Source organism: Homo sapiens, chromosome 12 (genome assembly GCF_000001405.40).
Source record: "Homo sapiens chromosome 12, GRCh38.p14 Primary Assembly".
NCBI lineage: Eukaryota > Metazoa > Chordata > Mammalia > Primates > Hominidae > Homo > Homo sapiens.
The window spans coordinates 113,631,083-113,656,453 of NC_000012.12; the positions used below are offsets into that span (position 1 = coordinate 113,631,083).

A 25,371-nucleotide genomic window follows, 5' to 3' on the forward strand; every position below is an offset into this window, starting at 1 on the left:
TCTACATTTAAAAAATTCTTATTTGCTTATACTTATTTAACATCTATTCAGTGCCAGCCTAGTTGCAGTTATGCCTTCAGTTGGCAATTCCATTTTGGGATCCTGGAGAAGTAACTGCTACATTTGGAAGAAAGACAGAATGAGCTCTAGAGTCCTCTTGAGTTTAACATCTTGGGGATTTACAAGTCTGTAATTCTAAGATTTTAAAATTCGGTAATTCTCACACTCTGTACATTTTATTCTAATATTCCATTAGTTTAATATTCTAAAATTCTGTGGTTCCCTGTTCTTAATATAATTCTGAAATTTCAAGGACATGAGGCACCCTATATCTAGTACTTACAAAATTAATTAGCTTACTATTCTAGAATTTTTTAATTCTAAAGATTTACTTAGGTTTTAATTAAATTAGTAGTTTAAAATTACTTAGTTAAAACTAAGGTTTTAAAATTTTCTCTTTAAAACTGAAGGTTAAAAGGAGTTTCATTTTTAAAGCTTTCTCCAGTTCTAAAATTCTGTGGTTCTAAGTCTCCTATAAAGCTAGAATTTTAGAATTTACTGGTTTAATATTATAGAAATATATCTATATATTTTAGATATGGAGTCTCGCTCTGTCGCCCAGGATGGAGTGCAGTGGTGCGATCTCTGTTCACTGCAACCTCTGCCTCCCATGTTCAAGCGAATCTCCTGCCTCAGCCTCCCAAGTAGCTGGGACTACAGGCACGTGCCACTACACCCAGCTATTTTTTGTATTTTTAGTAGAGACGGGTTTTCACCATGTTGGCCAGGATGGTCTCTATCTTTTGACCTCGTGATCCGCCCACCTTTGCCTCCCAAAGTGCTGGGATTACAGGCATGAGCCACCACGCCCAGCTGAATTCTATAATTTTAAGATGTTATTGTTGAGTCTTCTAAAATAATACAGTTCTAAATGTCTCTTGAGCTAGTTTTTAAAATTCTCTTGCTCCAAGGGTCTAAGATTCAATCTTAGGTCTCTTGCAGAATCTGCATCTGGTCTCAGCCTAGGTCTCTTGCAGAATCTTGCAGAATCTCTGAGGAGGCTGAAGCCAATCAGTCTACCTTCCTCACACTTGATCCCAGTGCAACCAGCTCTGTCCCAGGTTCTCCTGGGACTGACTAGTCCAGTTCTGGATTAAAGTCAGGCTCTGGCACCTGTCCCTGGAATAGTACTTGAAGATCAGCAGTTTCACCTGGCTCCATCACAGGCCAGGTCTCCTTAAATGCAGTGAGGCCTGGTTCCCCTGGACCCATGAGCCCTCAGTAGCATGGAGGTGCTGAGCAATTTAACGAAGTGGCCGACAGTTGATTGATGATGGGTCCTTTAGAAAGTAGGACACAGGACCGATAAGTTGTGCTGAGAGTTGCTTAGATGGCAGGCTCTTGTACCTGGTGTAGATGGAGATATGACATGTTTCTTCTACAGCCTTTCCACCTTTCCTATTTTGAAATATTGCCTGGAGCCAGTCCTTGCTAAAGGCCAATTTTCTTCTCCATCTACCTACAATTTATGGTCCTTCCAGATTGCTATCTTTGCTAGGTAACAGAGATGAGTGAACAAGGTAGGTGATCATCTTGGAGCAAATAGAGAAGTCAAAGCAATTTCTCCTCATCCTACCAATTTCTTCCTTCACATTCCTTACATCTCTTGGAGAAGGCATATCAGGCAAGAGTTTTTCAGTTGCAAAAACAGGAACCCCACTCTGTCAGTTAGAATTGTATTTCCTTGAAATGCAAATATAGTAGCTTAAATAAGCAAAGCGTTTACTTTTCATAGGTATTAAGAAATCCAAAGATAGGCATTGCATTTGTAATTCAGGCAGGAAAAGGGCAAAAGAGCAAAAGGGCAAAGAGCTTTCTTTTGGGGTCTTGTCTTTTTATTTGGGAATGACATTTCTCCCAAGGAGTCATTGCTGAGAACTGGGTCACATGGCCACTCAGAGCTACAAAAAAGTACAAACAAGTGTTTCAGAGAGCTGCATTGCTATATGAAATGCCAATAGCATTGGAAAGGGAAAATGAATTCTGATCGGTGACCAGCAGCATCTGCCATACCCATTAAAACTTATGTAATTGGAAAACAACTCTAGGTGTATGCAGGCTTCAGGCATAGCTGGATCCAGGGGTTCAGTGTTGCTAGATATAGTGGTTACTCTGTGTGGTTCCATTCTTGGTGGCAAAATGGCTCACAGGCTGGGTATGAACCCAGCACTATAATTCCAGCACTTTGGGAGGCCAAGGCTGGAGGATCACTTGAGCTTACAAGTTCAAGGCCAGCCTGGGCAACATAGGGAGGCCCCATCTCTATTTTAAAATAAAATAAAATAAAACAACAACAACAAACAATAACAACAAATGGCTACCAGAAGCTGCAACTGACATTACATTAGTTTAGCAATCCCAGGAATTGAGAACACTCAATTTTGTTGTTGTTGTTGTTGCTGATAGTTCCAGCAAAAAGCCTAGACTAGAGTCTCATTGTCCTGGCTTGGATCACATGTCCATCCCTGGATAATCCATTATGCCTGGGGACAGAGCTTGTGGTAGAAAATATACTCTGATTGGTCACAGTTGGGCAATGTCTCTCCCTTGGAGCTTCAGGGAAGGGTCAGCCCCATTGGAAACATATGGACTGAGACCAGGTGAGGATGAGGCACCACAAAGGAGAAGGGATATTGGGCAGGTAAAAGTCACTAGTTCCCACTTGGGGATGTGCATGTGCTTTCTTCATTATGCCAAGTCAGCATCAACAGAGGATCAGCCAAGTTACTGGACCTTGAGTCATAAGTCACAAGGTTTGGGATCCACTCATTCATTCATTCATTCATCCATCCATTCATTCATGCATCAAATAATCCTTACATTTCCTGTGTGATTCAAGCTGGCCACACTCCTTTTCAATGGCTTCAGTGTCCTTTCTGGCATAGGAGTAGATACTCCCATAAAATCCCATAATTTTTAAAAGTGTGAACCCCAGGCTCAGACACCTTTGTTTCATTCCAGGTTCTGCCACCTCTGTGACCTTGGGCAAGCCACTTCCCCATTTGGATCTAAGTTTCCCCAGTGTCCATAATCCCACCTACTTATTGGTTGTTGTGAAGAGGGTGAATGAGATCATGAATATGACACATGTACCTGGGTCCTGGGCTATAGTTAGCACTTCCTATCTGGTGGCTATCATCATCATCATCATCATCAGCAGCAGCAGCAGCAGCAGCAGCAGCAGCATCAACATTGTTACCTGTCTCAGGACACTGGCCAAGAATACTTTCATTGAATTGCAAAGCATCTCAATCAAAAACAAACTGCCAAATGCCAAAGCTCAGTACCCCCTGTCTACCCCTTGTCCTGCCCCAATCACCCCCCTTTTCCAGTTTTTCCTGGGCCAAGAGAAGAGTCTCCCTGTCCCAGGAGCTTTGGGGACGGCACGCTGACCCCTTCTTTAAATCCATCTCCCTCAGTGTTCCAGGCCCATCCCTATTGGAAAAAAATGACTCTCACAAAAGACCCCTCAGCAGCAATTATCTAAATGGGAGGCTGCGAGGGGGAGAACCATTTAGAATCCACTTCATTGCAGGATTAGCTAATTAATTAACGGTTTCACTGACAACTCGTTGGAGAAGTGTATGTTAAACAGGAGCACAGTGGGGCGTGATTTATAGACTCTGACACCCCCCCTAATCCCTGGCCTCTCCACCCAGGCTCCCTCTTTCCCACCCCCACCCTTCTGCTCACCCCCAGAGCAGGGAAATCTGTGGGGACCCTCTTGCAAGCTCCCTCTGGAGTTCCAGGGCTGGGCTGCTGGCCGAGGGGGACCCTATGGAGTTGACAGAAGGGCAACTGAGGAGGGGGTGGGCTGGGGAGACAGGGGACAATGAGGAGATAACAAGAGGGCTGAGGCCCCAGGGGTGGCTGCATCTGCCCCTTGCCCCCAGCCCAGAGCCCCTCCATCTGTGCCCATCCCGGCACGTGGGGCCCTGTAGGCACCTGCTGGCCACGGCTGTTTCCTTGCTCCTAGAGTTCAGGGCTTTCCAGAGCCCCCCCACTCTCTGCTTGGAAGAGACAGCACTGTTCAGGGAGCCCAGAGACTTGGCTTTGCCTTTCTTTTGGGAAGCGGGTTTTCAGAGGACGTAAACTAGACTAGAACGAAGGGCAGGATGTCAAAACAGGGCAAGGAAAAGGAGAAGAAGCCAGAAGTGAGGACGATGGACAAGAAGCCAGTGGTAACATCCTGGACGAGGGTTTCTCAAAACACACCTCATGGGCCACCTGTGTCAACACAACTGCGGTGGCACATGAAACACACAAATGTCTGACCCAGACAGATTTCATAGCAACCCAATATCAAACCCTGGTGTGGGCGCTGGGTATCTGACTTTTAACACCCTGATTCTGAATGCCATGGATGTTTAGGAGCCCGACTTAGGGCCGGGTGCAGTGGCTCACGTCTATAATCTCAGCACTTTGGGAGGCCGAGGCAGGTGGATCACTTGAAGCCAGGAGTTTGAGACCAGCCTAGTCAACATGGCAAAACCCTGTCTCTACTGAAAAAAAAAAAAGAGCAAAAAAAAATTAGCCAAGTGTGGCGATGTGTGCCAGTAATCCCAGCTACTTGGGAGGCTGAGGCAGGAGAATCACTTGAACCCCGGAGGCGAAGGTTGCAGTGAGCCGAGATCACTCCAGCCTGGGGGCCAACAGAGTAAGACTCCATCTCAAAAAAAAAAAAAAAAAAGAGCCTGACTTAGAAGCTTGCTAAAGGAGAACGACAAATTTGCTGTATACCGAGAGCCCACAGCAAAGCGGAGCCTGCATTCCAGCTTTGGATCCTTTCTGCTACCAACGAGGTTCTAATCTGGGCTTCAGGGGTGCTGGGGTGGATATGGGAACCTCCTGAGGCTGCAAACAAAATGTTCTGAATGTAGACAAGTATTTTTCTGGGGAGAGGGTCTGGAGCTTACATAAGGCTTAAAGAGGAACGTAACCCCAGATGAGGTTAAGCATCTTCAAATTAGCTTCTCTGAGCTTCAATTTCTTTGGCTGCGATTCTAGAAGAATCACCTCCGTCTCACACACCATAGGGGAATGTGAGCAAAAACACCAGCAGAGATATACATGCTCTCCAATGCAAGGCATGAGGTGCCCCAAAAGGGATCCTCTCACCCTATCCTCAGAGGGCCCCATTTCTCAGTTATTAGGGGTTCAGTCAGCAGTAACTGAGAGGAAAAGCAGGAGGGAACCTGGGCTGGGTCGTGTTACCCGGGGAAATTCTCCAAGGAGGAATGCATCACAGAGGGCTGGATGGGAGCCACCTTGCCAGGGACTCCCAGGGACAAGGGTGGATGGGAGAAGAGAAAAGGGGCCACACCTGCCAGAGCCCAGCATCGAGGCATCTGGAAGGGAAGGAAAGGAATTCATGGTGCTCTGTGTGTCTCCATTTTATAGATGTGCAAACAGAGGCATTATGAGATTAAGTGATAAAGCCAGTAAATAATGGAGTTCCATAAATGTTTGATACATTATAAACATTCAGCAAATGCTTAAATATCATAAAATATATATCAGAAGATTAGAATAGTTCCCGGCACATAGTAAGGGCTCAGTAAATGTTATTATTATGCATTATGTTTACCTATATGCATAGGCCCCACTAGATGGTTGACCCATTTACTGCTCACAATGGCCTCCTAAGGCAGCTAATGTAATGTTCTCCACTGCACAGAGAGGAAACTGAGAAGGTAGGGGACTGACTCTCTTCTAAGGTCGCACAGCCTAACCTGCGGAGCCTGTCTCAGTGTTTCTATGTGAAAGGACAGGTTAGGGGTCCCAGCCTGGCCTCATTGAGCGCCCCAGAACCCACAGACCAGCACTGTGCTGCCAGGGATGACTTTGTGTGACCTTGAGGCCAGCCTCTCTCCGAGTCATCTGTGAGACCCCTTCCAGTCCTCTGGTTTTGAGCTTTTTTTTTTTTTTTTTTTTTTTTTTTTTTTTTTTTTGAGACGGAGTCTTGCTCTGCAGCCCAGGCTGGAGTGCAATGGCACCATCCTGGCTCACTGAAACCTCCACCTCCCGGGTTCAAGCGATTCTCCTGCCTCAGTCTTACGAGTAGCTGGGACTACAGGCACGTGCCACCATGCCTGGCTAATTTTTGTATTTTTTAGTAGAGATGGGGTTTCACCATGTTGGCCAGGCTGGTCTTAAGCTCCTGACCTCAAGTGATCCGCCCGCCTCAGCCTCCCAAAGTGCTGGGGTTAGAGGTGTGAGCCACCGCACCCGGCAAGCGTTTTATATATATACATATATATACACACACATATATATACACACACACACACATATATACATACACACATACATACATACATACATGCATATTATACATATATATTGGCTTTTCTTTTTTAATATATGAGAAGGGGGTCTCACTATGTTTCGCAGGCTGGTCTTGAACTCCTGGGCTCAAAGTAATCCTCCTACCTCAGCCTCCCAAGTAGGGGACTACAGTGCTTGCCACTATGCTCAGCTGTTTTGCTGTTGTTCTTCACTTGATCTTAGCCAAAAGGCCGAGAAGCGATTTTGCTGTTGTACTTGTACATAAGGGGGTCTCACTATGTTGCCCAGGCTGGTCTCAAACTCCTGGGCTCAAGCCATCCTCCCACCTCGGCCTCCCAAAGTGCTGGGATTACAGGCGTGAGCCACAGGTTTGAACGCCCGGCGCCGGGTCCACCCTCTGGTTATCAGGTGGGGAGGTGGGGCTCAGAGAAGTCCAGGCACTTGGCCTAGGTCACACAGCACATCAGGGCGAGCGGAGGAGAACCTTGACCTCCTGCCCTCCCCTCCTCCCCTGCTCCCACCGCCCTACCCCCACCCCTTCCCCAGCTCGAGTTCAAGGACGCAGAGAGGACGGGAGGGGGTTAAAGCCCATTCAAACGCGCAGCCCCCCGCCCCCGGCTCGCCCCCCACTCCCCGCCGGCCGCCCGCATCTGGGCGCGCAGAGGAACAGATTTCGCGTTTCACACAGCGCACAATGGCCGCCCTCAAAGGCGCGCCGCCCGCATTGTTCGGGCCGGCGCCCGCGCGTCCTACCTCCGCGCGCGAATTAACCCCCGTCACCCCGCCATTGTCACCGCGCACTTCGGGGCCGGCCACAAAGGCGCCAGAAAACCCTGCCGTGTTCGGAAGGGTGGGGGGTGGGGGGCTGGGGGGAGGGAAGCAACAGGGACTGGAGGGAGGGGGGCACTGGAGGGATGGAGAGGGCTTGGAGGGGAGGGAGGCCACCGGGGAGAGGGGGCGGACGCAGACTGGGTGGGGGGGCCTGGAGCAGGGCGTGGGGGCGCAGGCTAGGAGAGGGGGCGCTGGGAGTAGGCGGGTAGGAGGGAAGAAGGGGGTGCATAGGCTGGGAGGGGTGGGGGGCTCTTGCCGGCTAGAAGGGCTGCTGGGGGCGGGAGCTAGGTGCAGGGCGGAGGGGCTTGGGGGCTGCCTGTCCACCCCTGTGCCTTCGGATCTCTGATTAGCCTCCTTTATCTATTCCGCCTCTGGCTTCTCTGTTCTCTTCCTGCGATCGTCTCTCTCCGTTCTTTCTCTTGCTGTCTCTGTGTCTGTGTCTATTTTTCCTTTGCCTCTAGTTCTCCCTCGCTTTCTCTCTCTCCGCCTCTTATTATTTGTCTCTCTGTCTCTGTCCCTCTCTCTTCATCTCTGTATCTATTTCTTCCTCTCCTTCTTTCTTATCTTTTCTTTCTTTTTTAAGGCAAGGGCTTGCTCTGTCTCCCCGGCTGGAGTGCAGGAATGGGATCCTGGCTCACTGCAGCTTGGATCTCCCTGGTTCAAGTGATCCTCCTGCCTCAGCCTCCTGAGTAGCTAGCTAGGCCACCAAACCGCGCTATTTTTTATTTTTTATTTTTGGTAGAGAACGAGTCTCACTATTTTGCCCAGGCTGGTCTTGAACTCCTGGGCTCAAGCGATCCTCCCACCTCGGCCTCCCGAAATGCTGGGATTACAGGTGTGAGCCAGGGTGCCTGGCACTGTCTATTTCTTACTGTCTCTCTCCGCCTGTCTGATGATCTTTGTCTCCCTGTTTCTCTCGTTCCCTCCCTGACTCTCAGTCAGTTTACCTCTCTGTCTCTCTGTCTGCTTCTGACAGTGTCTCCCTCTCTGTTTCTCTTGGCCTCTTGAATTCTCTGTCTCTGAACATGTGTGTCTGTCTCTCTTTCTCCAGGATAAAGAATGCTGGCCTCGGTGGGCACCCACAGTCCCTGCAGTTGGACTACCCTGCTCCCAGCTCCCATAAATAGTTTGGCTGATACCTTGAGGACTAAAGAAGTGCATGGTGGGGCACTAGTCCCAGTGGGGCTCCTCATCTCCTGTCATGACCCCCTCAGGGACTGGGACTGGTACTCTCTCAGGGACTGGGTTTCGATTGTCCCTAATCTTGTCGCATGTTAGAGCACTTGCATGTGCACATTTGCGCACGCACACACGCACACACACATGCACACACGCACACACACACACACGTGCGCGCCTTTCACTTGCTCCTCCGTAGTGGCAGAAATCAGACCCATTGTACAGATGGGGAAGTTGAGGTTCAAAAGATACAGCCACCCACCCAGGGCCACACTGTGATTAGAGGCCCTCTGACTCCTGGGCCTTTACACCCATCTATAGGAGGATGGCCAGACCTGGTTGGTGAAATTGAAGTACCCCCACTCCCACTCAAGGCCAGTCCTCTAGGTATGGGAGACCTGTCTGAGGAGGAACCTGGTAGGACTCCACAGCCTCCCAGAGGGCACATCCTGCTCAGGTGACCTCAGCCAGGGTCTCACCTCCAAACCAGTCCAAACCCAAGGGACCTTTCAGAGGTTCCCCTATCACCTTCCCCAAAGACGAGGCACAGCTGCATTTGAATCCTCTTCCAGTGCCGGCAAATTACCTTCTGCATTTAGCCTGAGTCGCTCATACAGGAAAGTGCCCTCAGGCCCCAGACTCTGGGCCTGGCTGGGGAAACTAATAATGCCCATGCCCAGGCAGTACTTACCATGAGCTGGGCAGCGTACTAGGGAATCTTTAACTCATTTTCATTTCCACTTTAAGAGGTTGCCGATGTTATCCTCATTTTTCAGATGGGAAAACTGAGGTACAGAGTGTTTAAGTAACTTGCCAAGCTTACACAAAGCTGGTGGTATATACTGATGGCATAAACAAAGTAGATTTGGTTCTAATATGTCTGTGTATATATTTATAGGGACAAATATGGATATATATGTATAGGTGTGTGATATATATGTAAATATCTCTATAGATGAATATAGACATATACGTGTGTGTGTTTGTTAGTATTGCTATTGTTATTGTAGTTACAGTTTTTGGCTTAATCTGTTTGAATAGTAGACTGATTCTTGAGCACGTTTCTGTTCCTCTAGAGCTTTGTGATCTTTTTCCCTACAGGGGCATTGGGAATCTGGGGAACGGACCTTAGGGCCTTACAGAATTTGTGTTTTTCCACCTTTTGATCTGATGAGCAGCTAAGAGAAGCCTCTCTTCTCCACTTCCCCAACCACGCTGGCTCCAAGTGCCCCCTAGGCCAGGCCCTTGAAGGAAAAATCAAACCCTAAATTTGAAGGTCACTGAAGCTGTCCCTCCACCCCCTGTCAATTTACTAAGAGAGGGTTAGAGGAAAAGTAACCCCTTCACAACAACGTCCAGAGATGTGTGTGTGGTCCTTGGTCAGGAACCAAAATGGTTCTGTTATCTCATGTAATCCTTATAACAACAAGAGAAGATAGGTGCTATTAAGATTTCAAACCCAGGTCTACTCCAAGCCCCTGGCTCATGAGGATCTCTAGGTGACTTCTCTGTTCTCTGCCCTCTGCTCATGCCAATATCATTGAAGCATAATGGGAAGTTACCTACTGCCTCCTAATGAGTCGATTTACCAGTCTGTAAAATGGGCATAATGTTGCCGCTTCTCCCTGGGGCCTTGTGAGGATTAAATGTGGGGAAGCAGGTGCTCCCAGAAAGTGTAGTTTAGACTGTGTCCTCTCCTCCTCGCACTATCTTTCTCTGTTCTACCCTTCATCTACTTGTTCCTCCCCGTATCACCCATCCATCCCTTCCTCCACCTCCACCCCAGCTCCCCGAGTCAATATTCATAAAAATAACTAAGTTGTCCAAATGTGACCTGCAGCATCCTGGGCGATTCTTTCTTTCTGGCTGGTGCCTTGGGTCTCCTGGGCAGGCAGGTCCCTATGTCCCCCAGTCCCCCATCTTGGGGACAGCTTGGCGGGACCTCAACTCACCGTCCCCTGCTCAGCTGTGGATGCCCTTCTGACTGCCCTCACCCCTCACTTGGCTCTGGTTCCCCAGTGCACCCAGCTGGGATGTTTCCCTGCTGGAGCCTTCTGCTAGGCTGGAGTGGGGTGATGTGGAGGGGGGACAGACAGCCAACGTGGCTGCACAGCGTCCTCCCCCTGGAGAGAGAAAGCCCCCAGCCAGGCCTGCTGGGGGTTAGATAAGGAGCGCAAGCCACGCAGCTTGTCCTCTTTTTTGTAATCTCCTCCTCCACCTCCACCGCTCCCTGCCACCGACTCCCCCACTTTTTTTTTTATATCATCTTTATGGCTTTGGAATGATCTGGGCTGACACTGCGTTCACTTAGCCAAGGGCAGGTGGGGTCACAGGAGACAACTTACTCCTATGTGTATATATTCATGGGGGCCGATAAGGGAGCAGCCCCACCCCCTCCTCCCTAGCGGGGAAGAGAGAATAAGGAGACTGGCTGGAGGAGAGGTTGGGGACATGGTGACAACCAGTTCAGGGCAGAAAACAGATTTTGAGCACCAGAAACCCTGCGGTGGCAGAGGCGAGCTCTCAGGGAGCTGTGGCCAAACCTCTGATGGGGAGAATCATTTAAGTTTGAAAGAAGCACTGATTGGCAAAGGAACTGAGTTTTTAAGCTTATTACTTTCTTTCTTTCTTTCTTTCTTTCTTTCTTTCTTTCTTTCTTTCTTTCTTTCTCTTTCTCTCTTTCTTTCTTTCTCTTTCTTTCTTTCTTTCTTTCTTTCTTTCTTTCTTTCTTTCTTTCTTTCTTTCTTTCTTTTTCTTTCCTTTTCTTTCTTTCTTTCTTTCCCTCTCTCCCTCCCTCCCTCGCTCCCTCCCTTCCTTCCTTCCTTCCTTTCTTTCCTTCCTTCCTTCCTTCCTTCTTTCCTTCCCTCCTTTCCCTTCTCCTTCTTCTTCTTCTTTTTTTTTTTTTTTAAAAGATGGAGTCTCTCTATGTTGCCCAGGCAGAACTCTAACTCCTGGGCTCAAGTGATCCTTCTGCCTTGGCCTCCAGACTAGCTCTGCCTAACTAGATGAACTGAATTTTATCTCTAAATATTCTTTTCTTCCTTCCCCGCTCCCTCGCTCCCTTCTTTCCTTCCCCCTGCCTCCCTCTCTCCCTTCCTTCCTTCCTTCCTTCTTTCCTTCCTTCCTTCCCTCCCTCTCTCCTTCCTTCCTTACCTCTCTCCTCTCTCTCCTTCCTTCCTTACCTCTCTCCTCTCTCTCCTTCCTTCCTTCTCCCCTCCATCCCTCCTTCCTTCCTTCCTCTTCCTTCCTTTGCTCCCTCCCTCCCTTGCTCCCTCCCCCTCCCTCCCTTCTTTCCTTCCTTCCTTCCTCCCCTTCCTCCCTCCTTCCTTCTTTCCCTTCTTCCTTCCCTCCCTCAAACAGTAGACCTTGAGTTTCAGGACATGGTTTTAGTTGTTACCTGGTTCGAGCCTGGCTTTTGCAGGCTGTGTGACACTGGGTAAGTGGCTTCACCTCTCTGAGCCTCAGTTTCCCCATCTATAAAATGGAGACAGTAACAGAGCCCACTTCCAGCTGTATTATGAAAACTAGATGAAGAAATTAATGAACGTGCTTGGCACATAGTAAGGGTGGAATCATTGCTGCCTGTTATTTTTCTAAATTATTATTTATTGCATGCATCTCATGTACCAGTGGGGCACAGAGACGAATCGCACAGCCTGTGCCCCCAAAAGTGCTCACTGACATGACAGCTCTCATAAGCAACCCCAAGTTATGTTTTTAAAATAGTATTTTATGTCTGGGCAGGAATACAGATATGTTCACAGCGCTCAAAAGAAAGGTGATACTGAACTTATGAAGCAGATAAATTAGGGGTGATTATTCTCATTACAAAAGGATACGCTACAGGGATTCTTTAAGTGGTAAGTCCTCTAATACTGGAAGCGTGGAAGCCTTAGCTGGAGCTCTCTCTGCCCTGGCTCCCCCACAGAGCAGTTAATGGTGGTGAAATGAGAGAGCCTGGCCTGAGACAGGAACTCCAAATTTGCACCTCATCACTGACTGATCAGGCAGCCTGGGGCAGGCAGTGTCCCCTCTTGGACTCTCAGTTTCCCCAATGACTGGACGACTGGATGGGATTGCATCTCTGCAGCGTCCCCATCCCCGTCTGAGCCCAGATGACAGCTTTGCTACTGGCCTCTCTGCTTCCACTCCTCCCCCAATCCCTTCTCCATATCACAGCTGCAGGGATCTTCTAAAAGCCCAAATCAGTTTCCCCTACATAAAACCCTCCAGTGGCTTCCCCTAACCCTCAGGACCTTACCCTCGCTTCCAGCCCAGCTGATCTCATCTGTTCCCCTTTCCACCTTGCTCCTGCACCTCTAGCCTCGCCAGTGCATTCCTACCCCAGGGCCTTTGCACTTGCTGGTCCTTCCTGGAACTTTGCCTCAGGCCCCTTTTCTTGTTACTAAGTTTCTAGTTGAAATGTCACCATCTTAGGATCCCCCATCTAATAAATATCTAGTACTCACTGGATCATTTTTGTTTTATCTTTATTATCTTAATTGTACTTGGCACTGATATGATCATGTGTCTTTGCTTCTTTAATGTCTTTCATCTACCAAGAATGTTAGCCAAGGACAGAGACTGGGTCTGTCTTCACTGTTGGCTTCTCAGCCCCTTACATGGGAACTGGCACTTAGGAGGGGCTCAGCAGGTATGTGCTGAAGTCATCATTGGACTTCGATGTTTCAATATACTCATTTTAGGTGTGTTTAAGTTTTGTGCAAAGGAGTGAGTGATTGGTTTCCTAACTTTTGGAAAGTAAAGATGATGTGAATCCAGTCATATAGGACCGTCTCCCTGATGCACCTGCGGTCAGGCTGGTGCTGTCTTGGGTCGAAAGCAAAGGAGTGGACTCAGAACCAGCCCCGAGGGGACATGTTACCCCTGGGTGCAAATAGCATCAGGATCTGGGGCTGCTCACCACAGATACCATGATGGAAAAGGTCACCGGCAACTGGCCTGCATGGTTTTCATGTCTTGGCCACGTGGTTCTTTAATTATTTTTATTTTCATTTATTTATTTTGAGACAGGTTCTCTCTCTGTCACCCAGGCTGGAGTGTAGTGACTCAATCATAGCTCACTGCGGCCTCAAACTCCTAGACTCAAGTGATCCTCCCACCTCAGCCTCCCAAGTAGATGGAACTACAGGTATGTGCCATCACACTTAGCTAAGTTTTATTTTTATTTTAAAAATTATTACTATTATTATTATTGTATTTTTTTTGTAGAGACAGGGTTTCACCATGTTGCCAGGCTGGTCTCAAACTCCTGGGCTTAAGGGATCCACCTGCCTCAGCCTCCCAAAGTGCTGGAGTTACAGGCGTGAGCCATCACTCCCAGCCTTTATTTTAATTTTTTTGTAGAGACAAGATCTCACAATGTTGCCCAAGCTTGTCTTGAACTCCTGGCCTCAAATGATCCTCCTGCTTCAGCCTCCTGAGTTGCTGGGATTACAGGCGTGAGCCGCTGCACCCAGCTTTAGTCAACCAAGACAGCAGCAATGCAAAACAAAATGAAGGCGCTCAGAGAGACACAGGGGACATGCCGAGGAGCCCTGGAGGAAGGGGAGAATTATTCTGATGGGAGAGATCTGGAAGGACGAGGCTGGAGTGAGATGGAATGGTGGAACAGCAGGCAGGGGATTGGGCTTGCTGGTACCTGGTTCTGGGAGTGGGGGCTGGGTCTTTTCTTTCAGGTTCCTCTCGTTTGGAATTGATTCTGATGCTCCTAAAAGATGGTTCACCTGATCCCCTTGAAATGATCATACTGAAGTAGGTGCCAGAGGGGACCAATAGTTACCAAGAACTTACCATGTGCTGGACCTACATAAAATATTTCACTTGTGCTGCTTGACTTAATCTTCACATTGGCTGATGCCAGCCAAGTGATGGTATCCTAATTTCAGGGATTCGGAAACAGGCCCAGAGAGGTTGTGACTTTTCTAAGCACACACAGCAAATAAATGCTGAGGCTGGGATTTGAACTCAAGTCTGCCTGGTTTTGGAGCCAGTGCTTGCCGGAGACATCAAGATGCCTCCTGAATTCAAGAAGGGAGGAAGGGTGATGCTGGGTGCTGTGAGAGCAGGGATAAGATTTAGGAGCAGAAGGTACAGTGAAGAGGGGGCCATAGGTGGGGGTTCAGAGGTGGAAGGGAAGAACATTCTGGTCCCAGAGAAGACTCCTGCCTCCAAGCTCCCGGCCCCACTCTACCCAGCCCTCTCTGCCCCTGGCCCGGAGCAGCCCCGGGTGGGGGACGTGGGGAGGAGAACTAAGCATCATGTAATTGCCCTGGCTCTTCTGTGAAATTTGTTTCGGGACACATTAGTTCCAGTGAATTTAGCCGAACAGCGGGGAGCCCTGAGAAATGATTTGCAATTAGCCGCAGCCCCATGGCCCCCCATTGGGATGCGAGGCTTGGGCACTGAGTGGGGAATGGCCAAGGGGATGGAGCCGCCACCCAGTGCCCGTGGAAACGCCAGCAAGCAGGCAGGAGTGGCTGAACTGGTGCATTTCAGACCCGACGTCTCTCTGAGCCTGGCAGAGGCTGACAGGGGCTGAAGTAGAAGCATTTGACCCCCAAACTATCAAGGCCAAGACTTAGCCAGGCCAGAGGGGCATTCGAAATGATCAAATCCAATTCTCCTGCTTTGCAGAGGGGATGCGGGAGGTGAGCATTGCACATGTTCGCCTCTGTGGGGACGGCTCCTGGAGCATCTCCTTGTGATCACTGTGCCGGGTACTTCTCTAATCATAAATCCTCCCCAACAGTTGGGGAGGCAGGGAGATGATGCCCATTTTGCAGGGAAGGAAATGGATGCCCAGAGAGATGAAGGGAATCTTGCCAGGTTAACTGGAATGTGGCAGGAGGAGGACTTGAATCCTGGCCTCTTGGACTCTCCATGTCGTTACAGCTGCTTCCTTTGATGGCCTCTAAGTGGAGGCAGAATGGCAGTCATTAGGGCCCTGAAGCCAGGCACACCTGGCACAAGTCTCAGCTCTACCACTTTCTGGCCTTGTCACCTTGCACAGGTCACTTCTGCTCTCTGAGACTGTTTCCTCATCTGAAAAATAAGAATACGCTACCCATATCATGGTGTATCTTCTAGGATTAAATGAGAATATAAAATGTTATGGCAACGGGAAGAGCTCAATCAGTAACCGCCATTACTATTACTATCATTGATTGATTGATTGACTGATTGGAGACAGGGTCTCACCCTGTCACCCAATCTAGAGAGCAGTGGTGCAATCATAGCTCATTGCAGCTTCAAACTCCTGGGCCCAAAGGATCTTCTTGCTTCAGTCTCCTGAGTAGCCAGGACCATAGGTGTGCCCCACCATGCCTGGCTAATTTTTAAAACACTATTTTGTAGAGATGGGGTCTCACTATGTTGCCCAGGCTGGTCTCTAACTCCTGGCCTCTAGTGATCCTCATGCTTCTGCCTCCTTAATTGCTGGGATTACAGGCTGGGATTATACCATGCCCACCCATTATTGCTATTGTTATTATTGCATCCTGATCAAACTTGTCTGTAGAGGAGGGAAGGGACTGGAGAAAGATCCCATGTTCCCAATAGGTGGCTGCTTGCCCACATACATAGCCTTCCCAGCTCAGTTAGTCCCCTCTGTCCTAGTCATGGGGTGGGCATGGAGATGATCAAGACATAGTCCTGGCCTCACACAAATGCTTCTGGAGTGAGCTAAGCAGTTGGAGCCGTGGGTCTTCATGGCACACAGAGGTCTCGTGGAATGGGTAGTTAGGGAGGGCACCTGAGGGGAGGTGACTTTGTCCCAGTATTGTCCCTGTCATATTGGTGGATCTCCATTGTACAACCCCAGGGGGCGCCCTTCACATTGTGTTTGATGTCAAGCAACACAGTGGCTGGGATTTTGATAAAAATGGCAGACACTCGCCATATGCCAGACACTATTCTAAGCACCTTACAAATTTTATTAGCTAATTTACTCCTCACAGTAATATTACCAGGTAGGCCCTATTATAATTCTACTTTTCAATGAGGAAGAAAATAAAGCAAAGAAGTCTTTTGTGCCTTCCTTCTCCCTGGTCACACAGCAAAAGGCATTGCTGAGACTCGACCTAGGCTAGCTGGTTCTAGAACCACCCTAATCACTACACTACTCTGCCTGCTTCCCCAGGGCCCTTTTTCCCTCCTGCTGGTCACTTGCCATACTTTGTCCTCCCCATGAATAAAGGAGGCAGGACAAGAATGTGAATCTGGGCCTGGCGCGGTGGCTCTCGCCTGTAATCCCAACACTTTGAGAGTCCGAGGTAGGTGGATCACTTGAGGTCAGGAGTTTGAGACCAGTCAACCAATGTGGTGAAGCCCCATCTCTACTAAATAGAAAAAATAGCCAGGCATAGTGGTGGGTGACTGAAATCTCAGCTACTCAGGAGGCTGAGGCAGGAGAATCATTTGAACCCAGGAGGTGGGGGTTGCAGTAAGCCCAGACCGCACCACTGTACTCCAGCCTGGGCAACAAAGCGAGACTCTGTCTCAAAAAAAAAAAAAAAAAAAAGAATGTCAATCTGGCGCCCCAGGTAAGACCCTCAGGGGCTTTGCCCAAGGTCTCACACATGCCCTGAGAATGCCAGGTAATGACTCAAGATTGGCAGTGACCCCATGCTGGGGTCTGATCTGAAAGCCAGCGTGCTTCCTGTATGGCATGAGGATGTGATCAGCCATTTAGCTAAGGGGATCCAGGGCCCCACAGCTGCTCAGAGATTCTCCAGAGAAGAGGAAGAAGAGGAGGCAGAGAAAGAGGTGGCTATTTTATGTCAGCAGTCACCCTGCTGGCTGCTGGTGCAGTGCCGGGCACATAATAGGCCTTTAGTAAAGTGAACTTGGAAATCTTGGAGAAATAAATCATTTCCTCCTTAGCCTGACATCTCAGAGATTTGTCCAGCCTTAGATTGTAGCAGGAATAGGAAATTCCTGATTTCAAAGCAGGAGTGAAAGAAGAAAGCTAGTATGTGGTTAAGAGTTTATATGTGCCGGGTGCAGTGGCTCATGCCTGTAATCCCAGCTCTTTGGAAGGCCAAGGCAGGTGGATCACTCGAGGCTAGGAGTTTGAGACCAGCCTGACCAACATGGTGAAATCCCATCTCTACTAAAAATACAAAAATTAGCTGGGCATGGTGGTGCGCACCTGTAGTCCCAGCTACTCGGGAGGCTGAGGCAAGAGAGTCGCTTGAATCCAGGAGGTGGAGGTTGCAGTGAGCTGAGATTGTGCCACTGCACTCCAGCCTGGGTGACAGAGAAAGACTGTCTCAAAGAAAAAAAAAAAAGTTTATGTGTCACTCAGTTCAAGAAGAAAGAGCCAGACAGATGAGTCTTCACGGCACGCAGAGGTCTCTGTGGGCTCAGGTGGTCAGGGAGAGCTTCTAGGAGAAGGTGGCCTTGATCTGGAATTGTCTCTGTTATGGTGGAGGGCTTCACGTTGCACAACTCCATGGGGCTTTCACCTCCCTCCATGGAGGCCAGAGAGGTAGGTCTCATCTTTCTCAGGTCTACAGATGAGGAAACTGAGGACCAATTGCCCAATGTCATGCAGCTAAAATGTAGGGTGACCAGCCCTCCTGACTTGCCTGGGGCTGTCTGGGTTTAGCACTGAAATTCCCACATCCTAGGAAATCCTTCAGTCCCTGGCAAACTGGGGTGGTTGTTCACCTCATTTTTAGGGACAGGGCTGGGATTTGAACCCAAGACTGGCCGACCCCCGCATCCCCTTGTCCCTCTGCACCATCCTGTTCTTTTTGAGTTCGCTCCCTGTTCCTCTTCTGAATTTATCAGCTCTGGTTCCCTCGGTCCCCGGAGAACTGCCCTGTCCCACGCCTTCTGCGCATCTCCCCAGTGCCCGGGGCTGTGCTTTCTCTCCCTCCAGCGCCTTATCTTCCCTTGTCTTCTTGTGGAAGAAGAGATAAAAGTAATTCTTATGGCCGCTTCACCACTGGCGACGGCCAGCCCCGTCCCCCTCCTGCTGCATTTCCCTGGTCCGGCCAGATAAAGGGTTAGGCCTAAGCACATGTCATTTTCTTTGTGTGAAATCAATATTCAGCAAAGTTTATCTGCCCGACATAGCAGGAAGTGCTAATTTCATCCGCGTCAATTATTTTGATGAATGTTCATAATGCCCGGGGTGTGAGCAGAAGATAAAAGAATTACTGGAATAACGCATACGTACTCCTTGCACACACACACACACGCTCGCCCACAAGTTCACACTGGGGCACACACAGGCCTGGCCAGGGGAAGGTGTTAACTGACAGCTGCCCTGTCCTCCCCAGCTGCTGATGGTTCAAAACATCTCCGAAAGAGGGATCAGGAGAGGGGATTTGTGTGAGAGTGTTATCAGTCCTTGATTTTTAGGATAGAACAGAGGTTCTCAACTAGTGGGTGATTTTGACCCCCAGGGGACTTTTGGCAATGTCTGGAGCCATTTTTCATTGAGGAGGGGAGAGGCTACTGGCATCTGGTGGGTAGAGGTCAGGGTTCCTGCTAAACATCGTGTAGTGCCCATCACAGCCTGAAAACAAATAATTCTCTAGCCCACACTTCAGCACTGTTGAGGCTAAGCTATATTAGAATGGAGTTTTAAAAAATTTTACTTTTAAAGCATTTCTCTGTAAATACATGTTTCTAATTTCTAGCAGTACTGGCAAGAAAATATCTGTGGGTTTGCCCATATAGTTCTAAGATAGGATGAAGAAACAAGAAATCAGATGCTAAATACAAGTAGAGAAATATTTTTACTTAGGTAATTCCACCTCCTGGTGATTCCCTGTGACATTTAAAAAGATATGGTAGAATAAAGACAAATCTGAGTTTTAAAAATTGGCCTGGTAGAAATTCTCACAGGCTATAAGCCATGGGCCAAGCCATAGTCAACAGAATAGGAATGCTAGGAATGAATTCTGGAGGGTCTGAGAGTCTCTCTTGGATGTGTGTGTGTGGGGCTCTGCAGGTGAGGGGGCCCTTGGTCTGCCCCTGGGGTCCTGCCACGTGTGAGTGGAGGCAAACATCATCCCACACATATTTGTCATCGCAGGACATGTACACAGACCGGAGGACCCCTGCCTTCTACTTAAAAGCAGCTAAATTTGAGTGTCTTGTCGGACAGCACGTCTTAAACTGTAACATGCTCACAGATCACCTGCAAATCTTATCAAAATGCAAAGTCTGATTCAGCAGGTCTGGGGTGGGGTCAGAGATGCTGCATTTTTGACCAGTTTAGTGCAAGAAGCCAAATACTTTTTCTATGAGTCTGGCCTAAACTACGTGTCATAGATGAGGTGCTACAGGCTATGTGGTGCTGGGATTTTTCTGCCTTCCTTCATGTCAGCCTCCAGAACCTGTGAAAAACTCCTCGCCTTCTAACAAAAGTCAGCAGCACATACAAATATGTATATTTTTAAACAAATATATCTGAAGATGCCCCTTCTAGGATGAAATGCTGCATGTCGATCACATAATATATGATGTTGTGAGCAGATGTCATGATATAATATGATAAAATATTATGAGCAGATGATATGCTATTTATTATAAGCGGGTGATATATGACGCCATATTACGATTATGGATGATGATGTATTGTGTATCCTGGCATATGTGGGAGATTATGTATTCACATGCTCTGGCACAAAGAGTCTGATTTAAGAACTTCCTTCAACTCACCTACCTCTGGCTCTGCCAATCAAAGTCTCTCTGCTGAGTGGGACAGAGGATCAAAACTCGTCAATCCTTAGGACTAAGCCATGTGTGGATTTGAGATTTCTGGGGATTTTAGGCCCATGGGCCGTGAATTCTGAATATTCTGCAACCTGCTCAGGGCTTTGGGTCTGCAAGAGCTGGTTCTCAGATCCATTTGTAGCATGAGTAATATTAAGAATAAAATTTCTGCAAGCCAATGGCCGGTCCAAGGCATGTAAAGAAAAAGCTGGATATACTCATGATCTTGAAACCAAATTATAACGAGCAAAAATGGAATCAAGAGAGGGAATATCTGAAAGTAATAACAGGAACCCTTCAGAGTTCATTTCATCAAAGCAACCGTCAGGTGAATACCAATGCAAATACTCTGTAGATAAACAATCACTCCTTGCCAATTTGGAGGGAAGGAGAGAGCAAAGAGGAGTTTGAATGAATAGCACATCTGAAAACTAAATATCCTCCAATGAAAAAAAAATCCATTTCCTGCACATCAAATTCTAAGGTCTTGCATTTTTAAATGCAGAGGTAAAATTCACTGGTAATTAACAATTGCAGAGGCAATAAGAGGCAGCGCCTTGGGGTGCAGACTCTGGAGGCAGCCGGCCTAGGTTCAAGTCCAGGTTCTACCATTTCCTGGCTGGGTGACCTCAGGCAGGTTGCAGAATGCTTTGTGCCTCTATTTGCATGCCTGTAAAATGGGCATAATGGCAACTCTTGTCTCACGAGGTGGTTATGGGGATTTAAGAGACACAAAGTGCTTGGGGCAGTGCCTGGCATACAGGAAGCATTCAGCAAATGCCCAATTTTTATGTTATTACCAATGAACCTATCTACCCAGCAATTAAAGTGCTGCACTCCTTAGACAGTTACTCTTCTGAAGAAGCTGAAATGCGCTCCCTGAAATCTAGCTTCAACATCAAAAGTGTGCCCAGCGCACTGCTGTTGTCAGTGGAGTGGAGGTGGACCTTCCCCCAGTGGAAGTGGCATTATTGTTAACGGTCAACTGGATGGAGGCTTTGGTGACTTCAGGGTCAATGAAACACTGAAAATGTGTGTTGACAATTACTTGACATTAATTACACTCCCCATTCATGAAGTCCCTATTAAAAAGAAAATAATAACCCAAGACCTAGATTCATAAGCTTAGGAGAAAGGGCTCCCTTACTGATTCTCACTAAAGTGGATATGGCTATCGTTGATGACCCAAAAGAGTGGTCTCTTTTCATCCCCAAGCTCTCTTCCCACCTCGTTCCACTTCCCCTGAGGCTCAACCCCATAGGTGGCTTGTTTTTCATCTAAAGCAGGATTGCTCAACTTGGAACCATTGGTATTTTGGGTCAAGTGATTCTTGTCATAGACATGCTGTCCTGTGCGTTTTAGGATGTTTAGCAGCATCTCTGAACTCTGCCCACTAGATGCCAGGAGTGTCATCTCCTGAGTTGTGATAGCCAAAACTGTCACCAGACATTATCAAATGCTCCCTGGGGAGGCAAAAACATTCCCAGTTGAGAACCACTGATCTAAAGACTCCCAAGGTCCTCAGGGTACCTGCCTACCATCTTTATGGGGACCAACTGTACCCTTTGTTTACAGGCTGAGGCAGCTAGCTTTCCCAAATGCTATTCAAAAGAGAGGCAGATTCATAGGCTAGGATGTCACCCAAGCAATTGGAATAGGAGGCTCTTCACACAGCACTCTCAGTCTTTGATGAGTCAACTAGATGGTAAAGGAAACAGAGAGGATCTGAATAAGGCAATTAATAAATGTAAATGAAGAGAGGCAGAAGGAGAAAGTGTGGTGGAGAGCGGGTGGATTTTGGAGACAGACCTCTTGGGCTGAAATCCTGGCTGTATAAACCTTGTTATTTAAGGTTTCCAGGCCTGAGTTTCCCTATTCACATGGCGAGGATACAGGTGTCAGTGAGTTCTCTGGAGATAAGTGAGATGATGTCTGTAAATTTTATGCTGTAGTGTCTGGTCCTTCTCAAGTATTCAATACTAAGAAGCTATTGTTACTAACTTTATCAATACACACGCATACCTCTATATCCTACAGACATTTGTGATAATGTAATTGTTTATATAGTTTTTATTTTATGCCTGTCTTTCCACTAGAACATAAGCACATAAAGGCAGGAGCCAGGGTGGACTTTTCCACTGCGGTATCCCTAGTCCTAGCAAATAGTTGCTGCTCTGTGTTTGCCGAATGCTGGATACACTTTCAGATGTGCCCTATACCCTAAGGGAAGTCTGATTCTGCAAGTAGTTGAGTTTCTACTCCTATGTCAGGGCAGTTAGCTGGAGGTATCTACAGTGGAAATACCATCAGTCACCCTTGTGAGCACACCCTATCTGCCAGACTCTGTACTTAGTACTCATATTGGTTATTTATTGCTGTGTAAAAAATTACTGCAAACTTACTGGCTTATATCGACACATATGTATTATCTCATAGCTCTGCAGGTCAGGGGTCTGAGCATGGCTTAGCTGGGCCAGGGTCTCCCACAAGTCTGCAATCAAGGTGCCAGTGGGTGCTGAGATCTCATCTGGAGGCTCAACTGGGGAAAGATCTTCCAAGCTCACATGGTTGTTGGCAGGATCCGATTCCTCGTGGGCTGTTGGACTAAGGTTCCTCAGGGGTGCTGCCCTCTGTTCCTTGCCATGTGGGCCTCTCCATAGGACATCATACATCATCAAAGCCCATGAGAGAGACACTCAGCTAGGAGGACAGAAGTTACAATCATGGAAATGATATCCCATCACTTTTGTTGTATTCTATTGGTTTGAAGTGAGTCCCAGGTCTTGCTCCCACTCGAGGGGGAGTTGTTGGGGGAACATTACACAAGGGTGTGGATAGTAGGAGGTAGGAGCACTGGAGGATGTCTTAGAGCAGGGCTGTCCAATCTTTTGGCTTCCCTGGGCCACACTGGAAGAAGAAGAATTATCTTGGACCACACATAAAATACATGAATACTAGCGATAGCCAATGAGCTAAAAAAAAAAAAATTGCAAAAAAATCTCATAATGTTTTAAGAAACTTTACAAATTTGTGTTGGGCTGCCTTCAAAGCCATCCTGGGCCACATGTGGCCTATGAGCCATGGGTTGGACAAGCTTGTCTTAGAGTCTGGCTACCATAGTCCCTTATAAATATTACCTTGTTAAATCCTCACCACAGCCCCATGGGACAGATTTTTTTTTTTTTTTTTTTTTTTTTTTGAGATGGAGTCTTGCTCTGTCACCCTGGCTGGAGTGCAATGTGCAATCTCAGCTCACTGCAACCTCCACCTCCCAGGTTCAAGTGATTCTCCTGCCTCAGCCTCCTGAGTAGCTGGGTTTACAGGCATGCACCACTATGCCCAGCTAATTTTTGTATTTTTAGTAGAGATGAGGTTTCACCATGTTGGCCTGGCTGGTCTTGAACTCCTGACCTCAAGTGATCTGCCTGCCTTGGACTCGAAAAGTGCTGGGATTAAAAGTGTGAGTCACTGCCCCTGGCCTTGGACAGGTCTTATTCCCATTTTACAGATATGGAAAAGAGGAAAGTCATGGGTGTCACAATGATGTTGTGATTCAGTCAACAATGACCAAGGAAGACAGTGTTGTCACTGTGGTACCTGTGGTATTGGACAGAGTCCACATTGCTGTGGCCACTCCAATGTGCTGTGACTTTCAGCTTAATCCAACTTGGGGTGTTATATGACTGAGTTCCTACAGAATACCATAGGCTCCAGAAGATAAAAAGCTTGAAGGATGCAGCTAGTTTAAGCATGGCCGAAACTGGGAGTTCAGGTCCCCTTTGAGAGGAGCTTGTCTCTGTCTACTCCACGGGATGCCTGGTAGAGTTGGGACATCTAAGATGTTATCACCACTCACACGGCACCTCAGCAAGGATGGTTCTCGTGGCAGGGTTGGCTGCAACTCTTTGACTGGGGTCACATGTCTGGGGACTCAGTTCTTGCCCTTGGCTAAATTTCTTGGTCTTCCTCTATGACATCTCAGGTTCTCTTTCTCCCCACATAACCTGTCCATATAGTCTTTCTAGCAATGTGGCCAGACTTCTTACAAAACAGCTCCAAGAGGGAACATTGCAAATGGCAAAGAAGGAAGCTGGAGATCTCTGAAGGCCAACCTTGGAAGTCACACAGCATCACTTCTAGCACATTTTGTTGGTTAAAGTGAGTCATGGGGCCAACTCAGATTCTATGTAGGAGGGAACTAGACAAATGCGTGGCTACCAGGACACCTGGCTCACGGGGGACTGTGTAAGAAGAGTTAATGTAGCAGGTCTGATTATAGGGCCGGTCCGTGGCTGGTATCTGGGAACTTGGCTGTTGAAATGTTCCCTATGCTATAAGGTTGTTTTGCCAAGCTGCAGGCACCAACACCAGCTTTCTTTCTGAGAATCTGGAATTTTGAGTCTTGTGGCTGTCTATGTGATGAGCCCCCAGTAAAAACATGAGCTTTTAGTCTCAGATGGACTTCTCTGGGCAGAAACATTGCACGTGTGTTGCCTCATCTTGCTACTAGGTAAAGGAGCTCTTTCAACGTCCATTCCTGGGGAGGGAGGGAAAGAGCATCTGAAGCCTGAGTGTGGAGCCCTCACTCAGATGTTACCTGATGTGTCTTTCTCTCTTGCTGATCCTGCCACTGTAATAAATTACAGATGTGAATATAAAACCTCCATGAGTCCTAGCAAGTCACTGAATGTGTGGATGATCTCAGAGACCCTTGAAACAGTGACCATCTCTCAGAAACAAGCTACCACAAATGGGTGCTCCTAAGGCCCATAATGGGAATCAGGATTCCCTTTGGAGGCCAGATGCCAATACCAGGTACTGCCTTACGTCTCTGACCTATCCCACCCTGCTTCCTGGAAAATGAGAGTCTAAGAAGTTTGATTAAAAGGAAGAATATGAGTACTTCTGGATACTCCCCCATAGGGGGCATTCTGGCTACACGTGGTTGAGGGCAGCATCTTTATGAAGGTGATACCAAAACTTGAGTTGCCTCTAACCCCTGCAATCTAATCACAGCGCAGTTGGTCATGGTAGTATTATTGACATGAGCAAAAAATAGAAAACAGCCTAATGTCCAACAGTAGAAGGCTGGTTAAGTAAATCACGGCACATCCATCAGATCTAGTCACTGAAGTGAGGTTTTTGGAGAGTTAATGGCAGGGATGTGCTTATGATATACTATTAAGTTAAAAAAAGATTAAATAATTGCTTAAGTGTGATATTATCACCATGGATCTCGCTTGATGTTGTTCTAATTAA

General features: G+C 47.7%; 2 long non-coding RNA genes across 3 annotated transcripts, besides 1 other annotated feature; both read left to right on the forward strand.

Annotated features, from left to right (window-relative positions):
• The first annotated feature begins 7,960 nt into the window (after nt 1–7,960).
• LOC105369990 (uncharacterized) lies at nt 7,961–13,433 on the forward strand. Of its 2 annotated transcripts, XR_945348.1 has the most exons (4): nt 7,961–8,341; nt 12,103–12,218; nt 12,922–13,012; nt 13,393–13,433. It is a non-coding gene; the product is annotated as an uncharacterized LOC105369990 (long non-coding RNA). The 2 variants fall into 2 exon arrangements; XR_945347.1 differs by lacking the exon at nt 7,961–8,341 and having other exon boundaries at nt 11,669–12,218.
• Nucleotides 10,412–10,930: an enhancer, noted in NCBI's record as "H3K4me1 hESC enhancer chr12:114079299-114079817 (GRCh37/hg19 assembly coordinates)". NCBI's record gives its function as "activates a minimal SCP1, AML or CMV promoter by ChIP-STARR-seq in naive H9 embryonic stem cells {active_cell/tissue: H9 hESC(naive)}" and the evidence as "EXISTENCE:reporter gene assay evidence [ECO:0000049][PMID:30033119]".
• Nucleotides 13,434–22,552: 9,119 nt separating the features above from the next.
• Nucleotides 22,553–24,918, forward strand: LOC105369991 (uncharacterized). The gene is made up of 3 exons (XR_945349.2): nt 22,553–22,881; nt 24,129–24,270; nt 24,759–24,918. It is a non-coding gene; the product is annotated as an uncharacterized LOC105369991 (long non-coding RNA).
• The last annotated feature ends 453 nt before the right edge of the window (nt 24,919–25,371 follow it).